Raw genomic sequence first — 14,470 nt, forward strand, 5'->3', positions numbered from 1 at the left:
TCTTGTTCTTGCCAGAAGCAATGCCTGCTCATATGTGCAGCATAGGAGTAGATCCTGAGTCCAGGGCCTGTTGACTGAATGGGTGGATATCTTCCCTGATTACAGCCAGCTAAACATGCTGTGCGAAAGATCTGTTCTTTCTTATCTCAGAGATAGCATGGTATAAGTACTAAGACAAAATAATTGGAGCCAGACTACTAGTCCCAGCTCTGTCATTTACTAGCTGTGTATCCTCAGGCAAGTTACACAACCACTTTGAGCCTCAGTTTCCCCTTCTGGAAAAATGGGACAGTAATAGTACCTGCATCGCAGAATTGTTGTGGTAGTATACATAAATAGGCCTGGTATAGAGCCTACCACCAAGTCAGGGCTTAGGAAATAACTAAGTTAAACCAGTTCCCGGTTAAAACAAACAGACAAAAGGCTATGGAATAAGGGTTATCTTTATTTGGATTGCAAAGTATAAATATGAACCAGGTTTGGAAATACAAGTTGTAACAGTTCAGAAATGGCACCAGAAACTTCCAGAAAGGACCATGACAGCATAACTTCATCGTTTTGGTGAGGTGGGTGGGATTATACAAAGCCTTCCCCACCTCCAACCTTCTCGGTAGCAATTGGCAGGTAATCAGTTACCAAGAACAGTCAGCTCCAATGTTCCCTGTTCCTTCTCAGCCTTTTGCTTTGCTAATACCTTCTCCAGACTGTCCTCTGCTGCACTGACCCCTGCATGGAGTAGCACCAGAAGAATGGCAGGAGTTAGAGAAATGTCTTGACACAAGGGAAAGTGAGTTCCCACGCTGTGGGCCTGGGGCCATGGGGGTGAGGGACCAGGAAAGCTACAGGCATGGAAGCCCAACCTCTTCTGAGACTTGGCAGGGAGAGGACACGGGGAGACACTGATATCTGTTACACTTTGACATCAGCACCTTGGGCTTTCAAAACACAAATGGTAGACAAAATCGCCTAGGCAAGACTGAAGTCCAACTCATAGAGTGGCTCTGACCAAGTTAACCCCTACATCCTGACCATACAGAGCTCCCGCAGTGGCACTCTGACCACGGAAGATCTGCAGAAATGTAGACAGACAATAAATTACTACAGATGGGTCACAGAACCATCCTAGCTTTGTGGCAAAGGTGGGTGGCACTAAGCCAGATTGTGGGGATGAGGAGTGGAGGGCCAGGAAATTGCCAAAGTAACAGTCTAGGCACTTGAAATATTATTGTTAGATTGTTAAAAACTAAATAAATTAACATACATAGAATAAAATAAATATATAATTTAAGAGGCATTTACAAACAACAACAACAAAAATAGTTGTTATTTTTCCATCTGGGTAGAAGTCCCAAAATTCAGTTCTCAGGCTTGTGGTATTTCACAGTTAACTCATCAAATCCAGCACTGGAGGGTCCCAATGGCAGATCCCTTGGTGGTACTTGAGTACATGGCTTCTCAATCTTTGTTGCTTTCTTCCAGTTCACAAATCTTTCCTTCTTGCTCTCCTTCTTCTTCTTCTTTTTTTTTTTCAGTCAAAGATCCTGGAGCATATGGAATTTAACCGGCATTCTAATCCAGAAGATAAGTGTTTAAACAAACTTATGAGGGGAAGTGGGGTTTGGTGGAGGGGAATCAGAAGGGCATGAAGGTCCCTTGCTTTTGCTTTCTTCTTACCCAGATACCATCGGACATACTCTGTTTGGCACTTGAAGGCTCTGGTATTTTGGCAAAGCAATTATGGGAGGCCCAATCCTAGACGGCAACTGGGGACGAAGGAGTCTTTGTGACTAGATGGAAGTCTTTCCCCTCTGCAGTCTGAAATCACCTTGTGTCTTCTCAGAGGTAGCAGTCCCCAGCCGATTCCTAAAGCACAAAAGGAAGGCATGTAAAGCCAGGTCCAGTCTAAAGAAGTCTTAAGATTTTCCTGGTCCAGTCTTTTTTATTTTTAAACTTTTTGAGACAGGGTTTCACTCTGTCTCCCAGGGGAGGAGAGGGGAGGGGAAGGGAGGGGATGAGGGTGGGAGAAGCTGTCCTCTCAGGCATCTCTCTTAGGTGTCTCTCTAGCAACTTTTACCTTAAGTGAAGCACTGAGTCTTTTTGAAAATAATTCTGCAATGGGATATTAATGTCACAGTAGCCTGGCCCCCAACCCCTATATGAAGAATTCAGCACCCACTGAAGCACAGCCAGGAAAGGGGACAAAGGATAATCATGTCATGGGGCAAAGGATGGAGCGTTACCTTGAGCACAAGTCTCTCTCAGTGGGAATTAGTCATGCCCAACTTCACTTTCTCTTCATTTTCCACATCATAACCTCCTCTCCTATGGTACCTGAGGAAGATAAGTTTTGTGAATAAGCCCTGCCTGCTATGACAAAGTGCAGGTCCAGAGCAGGTCCTTCCAAAGAACTCTGCCATGGTGGTTTCCTCTACTACTTGGAAAAGCCCAGGCAGTAGGGCAGCCCAAACTCTGGTCAAAGGCCCAACTGCCCCGAGGAACTCCTGTCTCTAATAGCAGGATGCAATTTACAAATAGCTTTCACCTCATTTACGTGATCCTCACAACATCCTTATGAGGTAGATGGACAAACATTACAATCACTACAAGGTTACAATCCTCAGAAAGACAGTAACTTGTTCCAGGTCTCATGACAGATGAGTTACACTGCTTGAAAACAGGCATAGAGCTAGGCACGGTGGCTCATGCCTGTAATCCCAGCACTTTGGGAGGCCGAGGCGGGCAGATCACGAGGTCAGGAGATCGAGACCATCCTGGCTAACATGGTGAAACCCCGTCTCTACTAAAAAATAGAAAAAATTAGCTGGGTGTGGTGGCGGGTGCCTGTAGTCCCAGCTACTCAGGAGGCTGAGGCAGGAGAATGGCGTGAACCCAGGAGGCGGAGTTTGCAGTGAGCCGAGATCACACCACTGCACTCCAGCCTGGGCGACAGAGCAAGACTCTGTCTCAAAAAAAAAAAAAAAAAAAGAAAGAAAGAAAACAGGCATAGAGTGCTTGGTGGGTCTCCCAAGCTAGAGCATACCTGGATTAGAAAGCAGGGCCTGAGGTCCAGACGCCTCAGAAGTGGAAGGATATACCACTAGCACCACCCACACCTTGACTACCAAACCACATACTAATGCCATCAAAGAACAGCCAGGAGAAAGAAATGTGTGACAAAGTGACTCCATGAGTGGGTAGCTGGGTCATGGAGGCAGGAAAAGAACTCCTGTGAGGAGCAGAACCTGCTATGGCCTCGCAAATTTGACCCTGGGCTCTAGACACAGGACTCATGTCATGCCAGAAATACCAGGTTTTTGGAGAATCTACACCCCGGAGCTAGCCCATGATTTGGAAAGATTGAGGGAAGTGCATGTGACCATCAAGGAGAGGGCCCAGGAGGAGGAAGAAAGGGAGTGATTTGCAGAAACAGCCTGCAGGGGACCCCAACACTCACCTAAACATGAGAAGCCCCACGATGACCAGCAGACAGACAGATGACAGCACCACAGCCACCACGGCCAGGATGGTTGTGTGGTCATAGGTATATAAGCGATTTTCCACTGGGAGGCTCAGCCCATGACACCTCTCTCCATGGTAACCCGGGTGGCAGCTAGTTCAAGACAGAACAAGAAGGAGATGGAGTTAGTGCTTTGGCCTCTCTTGGCAATGGCCCACCTGCATAAGCCAAACCCCATTCCTCATACCCTCAGCCTGTCAATCCCTGACCACGATCCCTGCCCATCCTCCATCCTTCTCCTCTAGTAGAAAACTCTTTAAAGCCCCTCTGAAAGCTCTGTAGCATTCCTCTCTCACTTGACACCCTCCCCTTTTCCATTTCCTCTGGTTCTCTGGGCTGAGAATCCTGTTCTAGGCATGGAAAAAGCAAGGGAGGACTTGAAGGCCTCAGCTAGATATGTTCCACGTGTGGCTGATTTATGACATGTGTGTTCAGGCGTTCTGTTTAAGCCACTTATGAGGGCTTGGGCACAAGAGCTGGTAGGCTAAATTGAGGGAATTCGTATCACTCCCTCCAGTGAGGCCCCTCAACATTCTGACCCAGAAATAAACCCAGCCTTCCCCATCGTGCTTCCAGCGTCCAGTCCCTCTCCACTGCTGTCCAGCCTATTAATAGGCCCTGTGCCTCTGCCAGGAGTCGTTTTTCTCAAGTTTCCTTCATTTAACTCCAGCTCCCCCTGGGTGCAGGGCCCAACTTGGGAGCTCAACTCTGGCCTTTGGCCTCTGCACGCTGAGCTACCAGGCCTCTTTCATCACAGGACAAACCAAACAAATCAAGAAACATCTTTCTGCCCAGCTGCCCTGCCAGAGCATGGAAGACTGTCAGAAACAATCCCTTGGCTCTTCTCACTCAAGAAATAAATCACATGGCAACTGCCTTTTCTTTTTCTTTTTCTTTTTTTTTTTTTTTTTTTGAGACAGAGTCTTGCTCTGTCTCCCAGGCTGGAGTGCAGTGGCGCAATCTTGGCTCACTGCAACCCCTACCTCCGGATTCAAGTGATTCTCCTGCCCCAGCCTCCCAAGTAGCTGGGATTACAGGTGCCCGCCACCACGCCCAGCTAATTTTTGTAATTTTTTAGAAGAGACGGAGTTTCACCATGTTAACTAGGCTGGTCTCAAACTCCTGACCTCAGGTGATCCACCCGCCTCTGCCTCCCAATGTGCAAGGATTACAGGCATGAGCCACCACACCGGGCTGGCAACTGCCTTTTCTAACACAAAGCATTTCCTTGAAGCTCTTAGAAAGACTCAGACGTGCTTACAGTTGAAGAAGCACATTCACATCCTTTCCTTTATCTGAGCATCCCAGAGATCCTTTGATATAAGTAGGAGCCCTGTTTTACAGAAAGGTGGAGTGGTTTTCCCAAGGTCACACAGTAAGACAGAAATGAAGATGTAGATGTAGATTGTCTGACTCTGAGCTCAGTGTGCTGCCCACTCACACCTGACAACTGCCTACCATCCAGCCAGGGGGCACAGTGGCACTGTCTGCCTGAGGACTTTAGACCACCAGCTGCTGAAGGAAGCACCAAGAACCTGGTGGCCCTCTTTTCTGAGCTGTGCTTTCTCTGGGAAGGAGGTGCTTTCTCTGGTACCTCAGAACAAGGAATCCCTTCTTCCTGCGGACAGAGCACCAGGGAAGCTCCAAGAGACAGACTTGTCCACAACCAGCAGTGGCAGAGGGGCCAGGCTGGGTGGTACTGCATTCTTGCTTTCCTGCCCTGAGCCTCTCCCTGCCCTAGTTCCTCCTGGGTACTTCGAGAAACCACCTCACAGCAGGATAAATGTAGGTCAGGCCCACTATACGTATAGCACAGTCCACAGTTCCTTGCCCAGCCTCTCCATGTATCTGTCCCATCAGCCCATGTAGGCCTAAAAGCGACCCCTATCCTGCCAGGACATAGAGGACACTTGCACAAGCACCCCTGGAAAATCACTTGTGCACAGCAGTTTACCATTCACAAGCCACTAGCCTTATCTACTAGCTCAACTGAGCCTCCTAACATTCTGGTAGGCAGGTACAACCCCATATTACAGATGGAAAAGCTAAGATTAAGGGTCAGAGAAATTAAGTGATTCACCAAAAGTGGCACAACTAGGAAGCAGCAGGGCTAAGACTAGGAACAAGTCTTGGCAGATTCCAAATTCATCATTCCTTCCACTTTGAACAATGCAGGATAGCGCAGGTAACTCCAAGGAAGCATATCTGATAGGCTCCTGGGGGGCAGTCTGACCCTTCTCTCTGACTATGTTATTATTATTTATTACTCATAACTTGAATAATAAAGAATAATAATTAGCAATCATTGAAGGCTTACCATGAGCCAAGTACTTTGTGCTAACTGCTTTACAAGAATTATTTCATTTAAAGCCAGCTCTGTGAAGGAGAAGTTACTAGCCCCATTTTAAAGATGGACTGAGGCTTAGCTTTTGTTAAACACCTCGCCCAAGGTTACAAAGCTAGTGAGTCGTAGAGCCAGGATTCAACAGCAGTCTGGATGACTTCAGAGACTTTGCTTTCCTGGGAGGAGGGAAGCTGAAGTTGAGTCTGTTTTTCACTTCCAGTCCATCATTCAAACTCCACAGGTAGTTACTCAGAAGATAGAAATAAAGTTTGGCCTCAGAGTCCCGCAATTCAGTTACATAATCCCTCCACCCCCACCCTGAGTCAAAAGGATAATAATGTAAACATCCTAATATTACCTACCTCCCCCTCCCTTTGCAGACAACTCCTGGCTTCCCCAGAGAAGGAGGGGGGATGAGTACATTCCAAGCATCCCAGGGTAGGGGCAAAATTTTGTGTCTTGTCCAGAGCCAGCCACCCACCAGACTAGGACACATTCTTCCCACCCACGTCTGTGACCCATTTCAGAACTTGTATTACAACAGATGCAAGAACCCTCTAGGGTCCAGAGACATCTTCCAAACTGGATTTCTCCACCTTTACCCCAGGAGGTGGAGGGGACACGTCTGGATGGAGGAGACTGAGTGCATGAGTTCCAGACTGGTTCTGCTGCTATTTCTAGCCAGGTAATTTTGGGCAAGTCACGTTACCTTTCTAAACATTGGTTTCCTCATGTAAAACACAGGGATAAGAAATGCCTACTTCACTAGAGTATTGTGAAAAGATAAAATGAGGTAATACAAATGAAAGGGCTTTATAAAGGCCAAGTCCCACATTGTGTGAGTTATTACATAATCAGACTCCAGAGGTTACTGCCCATGGCCTGAGGAATGGGGCACCCAAGTCAGATGGAGACAAGAGAAGCGGGATCACCATTCCTTCTTAGCACCTGGGCAGTGAGGCCAAGTAGAGCCCCCTAGCCTGTCTCTCCTCCAGCTCTGAGTCCTCCTCAGCCCAAGTGTCCCCAGTTTTCCTCCAGCCACAGGAAACTCTGCAGCCAATTTCTGGGTAGGCAACTAGTCAGGAATCCCAGGAAACTACTCTTTTATTTATTTATTATTATTATTTTTTTGAGATGGAGTTTTGCTCTTGTTGCCTAGGCTGGAGTGCAATGGCACTATCTCGGCTCACTGCAAGTTCTGCCTCCTGGGTTTGAGAGATTCTCCTGCCTCAGCCTCTCTAGTAGCTGAGATTACAGGCGCCCGCCACAACACCCAGCTAATTTTTGTATTTTTAGTAGAGACGGGGGTTTCTCTATGTTGGCCAGGCTGGTCTCGAACTCCTGACCTCAGGCGACCCACGTGCCTCGGCCTCCCAAAGTGCTGTGATTACAGGTGTGAGCCACTGTGCCCAGCAGAAACTACTCTTTGAGGGCAACTTTTGGCTGGTGACACAAAAAGGGTTTTCCTGTTCATGGTGGCTGCAGAGGGCTAGTTTAGGAAGCCAGCTAGCCTCAGGCTCACCACAGCAGCCTGGACACACCCTGGCTAGTGGTTCCTGGGTCTGGAGTCAAACAAGAGCCACAAAGATCCCCAGATGAACGTGCACAGATGTCACATTCCCCCAAACCAGGATTTCTGTCTTCTTGCTGCTTTCTGCCCTGAGTAGCAAGGGCAGGAGGCAGTAGGGGGCCAGTCCAGACATGCAATCAACCCCCTGAAAATCTGCCCAGGAAGTGGTGGCCCACGCCTGTAATCCCAGCACTTTGGGAGTCCAAGGCAGGCTGATTACTTGAGGTTAGGAGTTCAAGACCAGCCTGGCCAACATGGTGAAACCCCATCTCCACAAAAATTTAAAAATTAGCCAGATGTGGGGGCATGTGCCTGTAATACCAGCTGCTCAGGAGGCTGAAGCAGGAAAATCACTTTAATCTGGGAGGCGGAGGCTGCAGAGAGCCGAGATTGTGTCACTGCACTCCAGCCTGGGTGACAGAGCGAGATTCCATCTCAAAAAAAAAAAAGGCTAGATATGGTGGCTCATGCCTGTAATCCCAGCACTTTGGGAGGCTGAGGCAGGCGGATCACCTGAGGTCAAGAGTTCAAGACCAGCCTGGCCAACACGGCAAAACTACGTCTCTACTAAAAATATAAAAATTATTAATTCGGCATGGTGGCAGGTGCCTGTAGTCCCAGCCACTTAGGAGGCTGAGGCAGGAGAATTGCTTGAACCCAGGAGGCAGAGGTTGCAGTGAGCTGAGATCACACCACTGCACCCCAGCATGGGAGACAGAGTGAGACTCTGTCTCAAAAAAAAAAAAAAAAAAAAAAAGAAAGAAAGAAAGAAAAGAACAAAGAAAAAGAAAATTCTGCCCAAGAAGTTAATGTAAAGTTTTCAAATCAGATTGCTGTGCTGTTAGACTAGTAAAAGAATAAGAGACCTCTAGGACAACAGCTGCCCTCTGCCCTCTATAAAATGCTGCTCCAACTCTATAAGGACAGATACAGGAAAGAAAGATGAAAGCCAACACCCAGTACAGCTTGAGGGCATGAAAAGCATGTTGGACTAGGAGTCAGGTACTGAGACTCTGTCTTATTTCCAACTACTTATTTAGCTATTGACCTCAGGCAAATTACTTCCTATTTTCTGGCTCCAGTTTCATCACCTTTCAAGTAGAGGTACCAAGTCCTGCCTACTCAGCAGAGGGCTTTTGAAAAATCCCAGGAAACTATATCTCTCCAGCTCCTAAAGTAGTGTCTGCCACCAAATAGGGGCTCAACATACTTGGGCTCAACTCATATTATATATAAACACTGAAACTCTGGGACAAAGGAGATATGACATCATTATAGTTATCACTATCCCTAGGGACCACTGGGAAGGTGGCCTGGGCACCCATATCAGGTTCTCTGGGTTTAGGTGGTCATCCGAGTCCAGCTCTCCAGGAGGGCAACCTTATAAGGCCTCTCAACCACACAGTGCAAGCCCCACATCCATCCACCAAAATGCCCAGGACCAATCTGGTATAGACAGATTCCTGACCTCAATCCACCTTGACTACTTGAGTCACCTTCTTCACCCTGTACTAATGATGCCATTTTACAAATTTAAGATGAACATTTCCCACCCTGTCCCAAGACCTTGGGAAGGATAATATGGGGGCTTTCTATGCCACTCTTAAACAACTCCCTCTAATACCAAGCTCCTGACAAGGATGTTATAGGAAAGGATGCACAAGTGACTGTGGACATGGTGGGGAGTGATGGGTCTGTCTGCCAACTGCCAAATACAGGGCAGCTCTGCTGTGTGTGATCAGACAAAACAAGGAAGCTTTAAAAAGCTAAGGGATCTGCACCAATCACCAGTAGAAGGGATGCCAGGCACGCCGCCTTCTTGACAGGCTGGAGGCAGTGTGCATACAACAGTCTCTTGGCCCTGTCCAGAGTCTCCCACTAAGGCCCCCAGAGCCTCCCTCCCCACAGGGAAGGGAATGGATGTTTGCAGCCTGACGCAGGGTGTTGGCCTCAGGCACAGTGGCAACATTATGCCTGCCAGAGAGCATGGCAGTGCTGTCATCCCTGAGGGGTTGCCAAGGCAGCCGTTTGCTGGGTTTGGCTTAGGAGAGAGGCTAAGGAACCCACAGCCCCTCCACCCACACACCTACCCAGGGAAGGGGTGATGTTGCCTGACCGGGGGCTGATGCCTAATGGGTCAGGTTCCATTTCCTGTGAACCCTGCACAAAGGAATTGTTCTCTCACAACGTGGCCAAAGGCCAGTACTCTCCATGTCTCCCACCTCCTCGTCCTTGCTGGGATAAGGAAGAAGAAAGAGAGGCCTCAACCTGCCGCCATGATGATCCCTCTCTGTACAGTCCTGCCATGCCTCACAGTCAATCCACATTTGCACACTTACATGCACATAAACCCAAATACACACATACCTATACATCATGCATCCAAATGCACTTCCTACCTTCCCACAGGAGCTCTACTCTGCCCTGGAAGCCCACTCTGCCATGTTTCCTACTGGCTTCTCCCTCCCAGAGTAGGGCATCAGGCAAGAATTAAGGGCCTGCCTTCAGGTGCCAGCTGTCCTAGCCACATGCTCATTTCTGGGCAAGCAGGAAATGTCCCCAAGGATTAAAGCACGTCACAAAACCATACCACAGGAAATTGCATCCTATAGGGGGGAGGGGGCTTCCGCTGACTAAAAATATATTTCCCCTCCTCCCAACTTCCGCCCAGAGGTTGAGAAGAAACTGGGTGAAATTATGAATTCAAGGAACAGTGACAACGAGGAACAGCCACGTGGCTGACAAAGTGTGCTGATGAGATTCAGCCCTGGGGAAGGGGCACTTACATGCAGGAGGGAGCCCGGAGCTCCTTCACATATTTGCATTCTCCATGGATGCAGAAGTCCTTGTATTTCCGAAGACATGGGTCCCTCTTCTTCCCTAGCCCCTTGCCTTTCTTCTTTCTTTTCCCGTGCTCCTCCTTGTTTGGTGTGGCCAGTGCTTGTGGCTTGGAGGATAAAGTGACTGTAGGAGAAAAGCACTCTGTTAAAGTCTGACTCTTTGGGAAGAAAATCAGAAGAGCATAGTGCTTGAAAGGAGTATATATGCTTTGATTCCACCTGAAGTCAGAGATCTGGGAAGGCCCCTTAGCTCAGTGCCTCCTAAGAGGCAGAAGGAAGAGCAGGAAGATTGGGCAGAACCACCAGAAAGAGGGAACCTCGGTAGGAAGTAGAAGCTAGGGTGGGTCCCAAGGAAGGCATTTCACAGTCTCTGTGTAAGAGCCTCATTCTCAGAATGCTTTTGTTGAGTAACTGGGCAATTCTACCAACCTCACCTCCACCCCACTGTCCACCTTACACCCCCATCTCCTACTCCCCCACACCCACTTCATTCTATTTTGGCCTTCAATCAGCCTCATTTCCTGATGCTGTACTCAGTGAACCACTTGCAGAAAGACAGTGTCACACACAAAAATTGCTTCTAGAGAAGGTACTTGGAGGTTCTGGGGTTGGAGGGCTCCTAATATAAGAACAGTGTCCATGTGTTCAGGTGGTCTCTTCTGGGGCACCCCTTAGTACTATGAGCCCAGGGCAGAGCCTGGCTCAGGAACAGCAAGCAGGCCAGCCCTGGTCACGGCCTTGCTTTTTCAACTTCAAGCAAAATATTTAACTTGCATACCCTTTACAGCTCACCCACTTTCTCAAAGATTCATTCATATTTAACCCCCAATGTCCTGTTTATAGCTCTCTGGATTGGGGGGTACAGGGTGTACAAGGGATAGAAAAATGGAAAGTAAGGAACTGTCCAGAAGGAACTGGAACAATGATGACTCCCTCCTTCTTTCCATGCTTCAGAGAGACTGGGGGAAAAACAGCCTCACCCAGATATCCAGCTGGGATTGACCAGGGACTATGCCTATCAGCCCAATCCCACCCTTTTATCCCCCATCAGGAAAAAGGTGCCCACATCCATGGCTACAGCCATGTGTCTTACAGAAGGGTAAGCATGATACGTTAGACTAGAGACTTAGAGTCTCAAGCTAGAGGGACTTCAAAGAATACCATGTGGCCAGGCACGGTGGCTCACGCCTGTAATCCCAACACTTTGGGAGGCTGAGGCAGGTGGATCACCTGAGGTCGGGAGTTCGAGACCAGCCTTGCCAACATGGCAAAAATCTCATCTCTACAAAAAATACAAAAATTAGCCGGGCGTGGTGGTGTGTGCCTGTTATCGCAGCTACTCAGGAGGCTGAGGCAGGAGAATCACTTGAACCTGGGAGGCAGAGATTGCAGTGAGCTGAGATCGTGCCATTGCACTCCAGCCTGGGTGACAGAGTGAGACTATGTTTAAAAAAAAAAAAAAGAAAAAAAGAAAAAACTCATGGCAGGCAGAGTGACTTACTCAAGGTCATGCAGGATTGGGATTAGAACTGTGTTCTCTGGACTTCACTCCAATGTCCTTCCTCACCACACCAAGCTGCCTCACACACTCCCATCTCCTCCCTCTCACAAGTCTAGAGCACCTGAGATGCTGATCCAGGCATGAATGGGCTCTGAAGTCCATAGACCTGTGCTCCAATTTCAGCTATTTACTGTGGGCAGTCACTTAACTCCTCTGAACCTCAGGTTCTCAGTAAAATGTGGATAGCCAAAGTAACTATCTCAAAAGGTTGCTATAAGTGTTACATTAGCCAGGATAACATATCAAGTGCCTAGAACACAGTAGGAATTTAATAAATGGTAGCAGTCATTTATTTTAGGTGGTAGGATCCCCAGACCTGAAAAATAGTCCTTGCCCAGCAAAGCCAAAAGAAGGGAAGAGAAGTAGGTGCCAGCAGCCCCCACAGTCTTTCATTTCCTCTCATCCAGTCCCAGGCCCCCTCAGAGCTCAGAAGGTGATACAGGTGGTCAGAGGAACCCAGTGACCAGAGCTTCGGGGAGAGCAAGGCAGGGGGGCCAAGCCAATCAGAAAGGGGAGGGAGAAGGTGCAGGGTGACAGCCAGGCTCCTGCCATGGACAGGGAGCAGTGAGTCAGGTCTGCAGAGGTAAGAGGAGCAGCCGTGTGGGTGGGGGGTGGGGGTGGGGTGAGTCACAGCCCAGCCCTGCCCAGCCTAGGAGGAGAGGGCCAGGAGAATCCAGGCTGTTCAGGTCATGGGCAACCCCAGAGGGCCACTGGGAGAGGATGAAGTATGGGAGCCCAGGCTCAGTTTTGGAGTATGTGCTTGATTTATACAAAGTAGAGAGAGTATCCAAGGAAAGCTCCTGGGAATGAGGGAGAAGGGCAGCTGAGGAGCAGGTGGAACTAGAACAGGTGGGCATCTGTCCAACCAAATATAGTCATTCCAGGGTACAGTGCTGAGTCCTTGCTCTACTCTGGATAATCTCCTCAGGTTTGGAGGCAGGAGAGCTGGCAGGCTCTGGACTCTGCCCTGTACCTGTACTTGGCCACAGCCAAAGAGGCTGGTTGGAGGATCCTACACAGCCCTCCCCATTTGGAGTCTCCTCAGGAATGCAAGGTGCTCAGTAAGCTGCAGGTTTCCGGTAGCATTCACAGATATCCAGCATTTTAATACAGCCCCCTAGGGGCTCAGTGCTCACCATTCACAGCCTCATCTAGGGCGGCCAAGAGCTCCTCATTCCCCTCTGTTTCCCCAATCTGGAGACAGGTGGATGGAGGAGGCCAACACTGCACACTTTCTAGAGATGTGCCTGGGCATCTCCGCATGTGTTACCTCTATTTTATATATAATAGTCATTTGATATGGGAATTAGAACTGGCGCCCATTTTTACATAGTAGCTCTAGGGAAAGCATCTCAACCATTCCTTGTTCCTATCACCCAGCTTACCTAAGAAGAACGTAACAACCCCAGACAACACGTCTGATTCAATTTGCCCCGGAGTACCCAGAAGGGCAGCAACCCAGCAGGTGAGGCAATGACAAGAGAGAGAGAGTGGGACCTATATTCCAGGATCCCCCAGTGCCCATCAGGCCGATCAGCTTTTCCCCGAGGTTCTCCATGAATACCCTCAACCCACAGTATTGCCCAAACAGCAAGAATCTTGGATCTGCTTATTCTTCAACAGCCCACCAAGGTCCAAGGATGGGGGGCCTCCACACCCACCTCTCAAAAGGTCCAGATCTGCCTCTTGCAAGTCACGGACTTTCCGGTCCCGGCCGCCTCCTAGGGGTAGCAGCTGGTCCGTGGATACAGTGGGAGGGTCCGGGTTGCTGGTTCCAGCAGCTAGCCCTCTCCGAAGCCGCTCCAGGCTCTCGCCAGTCACCAGTGCCGAGAGAACTGCGGGCGAGAGGCCAGGCCGCATCAGACACCCGCCCAGACCCCTGACCAACACGCACCGATGCCGACGCCCGTCCGCCAGAGCGCAAGGGCCCCACCAAGTGGCCCGTGCCGGGTGCGCTGCGGCGACCTTCCCCCATGCCCCCAGCACAACGCCCCCATCCCCCCGATCTCCGGGGGCGTCGGCAGCCCTCTTACCTGCAGCCAGAAAGAGCTTCAGCACCACCGACGGCAGCAGCTTCATGGTCCCGCACCGAGAGGAGGCGGCGAGGCACCAGTCACTTTCGAAGCGGCGGCCACTGGGCGCTGGCACCAGAGCTGGGCGGCGGAGCTCAGGAGATTCCGCCGGGCACCGTCTGCCGCCCGCCTCTGCGTGCAAGCCTGGCCGGGACCCAGGCGCAGCTCGCTCTTCTTGAGTGTCTTGTCTTGCTCACTCAGCCCGCCCGCGCGGCCGCCCGACCCCGCGCGCCTAGGTCAGGCCAGCCAGCAGCGTGGCCCGCGTAGCTCCTTCGGCCGAATGAGCGCTGCCCGGCTCGCGGCCGGGAATAAGGCTCCAGGAGGCGCGGAAGCTCCGCCCCGCCCGGCGCCGCCCCCTCCCTCCTCCCGTGCTGGGAAGCTCGCCCGGCTCGCGGCGCCGGCAGCGCAGCCCCCGACCCCGCGGGCGCGGCGGAGGACTGGGCGGGAGGAGAGGGCGGCGTTCACAATTTTTGGGACCAGGCCGAGGCAGCCGCGGCCTGATTGTGGGTAGGGCTACTGACCGGCAGGTGGCGGAGAGCGGTTCCTACCTTTCCCCAAACGCCTGT

At 50.2% G+C, this 14,470-nt stretch overlaps 1 protein-coding gene across 1 annotated transcript, besides 2 other annotated features; it reads right to left on the reverse strand.

The window, feature by feature from the left end:
• Positions 1–425: 425 nt before the first annotated feature.
• HBEGF (heparin binding EGF like growth factor) lies at positions 426–14,186 on the reverse strand. Its single transcript, NM_001945.3, has 6 exons — positions 13,866–14,186; positions 13,494–13,667; positions 10,218–10,395; positions 3,455–3,610; positions 2,241–2,331; positions 426–1,863 (listed from the first exon to the last, which is right to left on the reverse strand). Exons 1-5 carry the CDS (start codon positions 13,909–13,911, stop codon positions 2,259–2,261), a joined length of 627 nt encoding a protein of 208 aa, NP_001936.1. The 5' UTR covers positions 13,912–14,186; the 3' UTR covers positions 426–1,863; positions 2,241–2,258.
• Positions 14,101–14,380: a silencer, noted in NCBI's record as "silent region_16447". NCBI's record gives its function as "represses an Ori minimal core promoter by ATAC-STARR-seq in GM12878 lymphoblastoid cells {active_cell/tissue: GM12878}" and the evidence as "EXISTENCE:reporter gene assay evidence [ECO:0000049][PMID:35858748]".
• Positions 14,421–14,470: a silencer, noted in NCBI's record as "silent region_16448". NCBI's record gives its function as "represses an Ori minimal core promoter by ATAC-STARR-seq in GM12878 lymphoblastoid cells {active_cell/tissue: GM12878}" and the evidence as "EXISTENCE:reporter gene assay evidence [ECO:0000049][PMID:35858748]".

Source organism: Homo sapiens, chromosome 5 (assembly GCF_000001405.40).
Source record: "Homo sapiens chromosome 5, GRCh38.p14 Primary Assembly".
In the NCBI taxonomy this organism is placed as follows: Eukaryota; Metazoa; Chordata; class Mammalia; order Primates; family Hominidae; genus Homo; species Homo sapiens.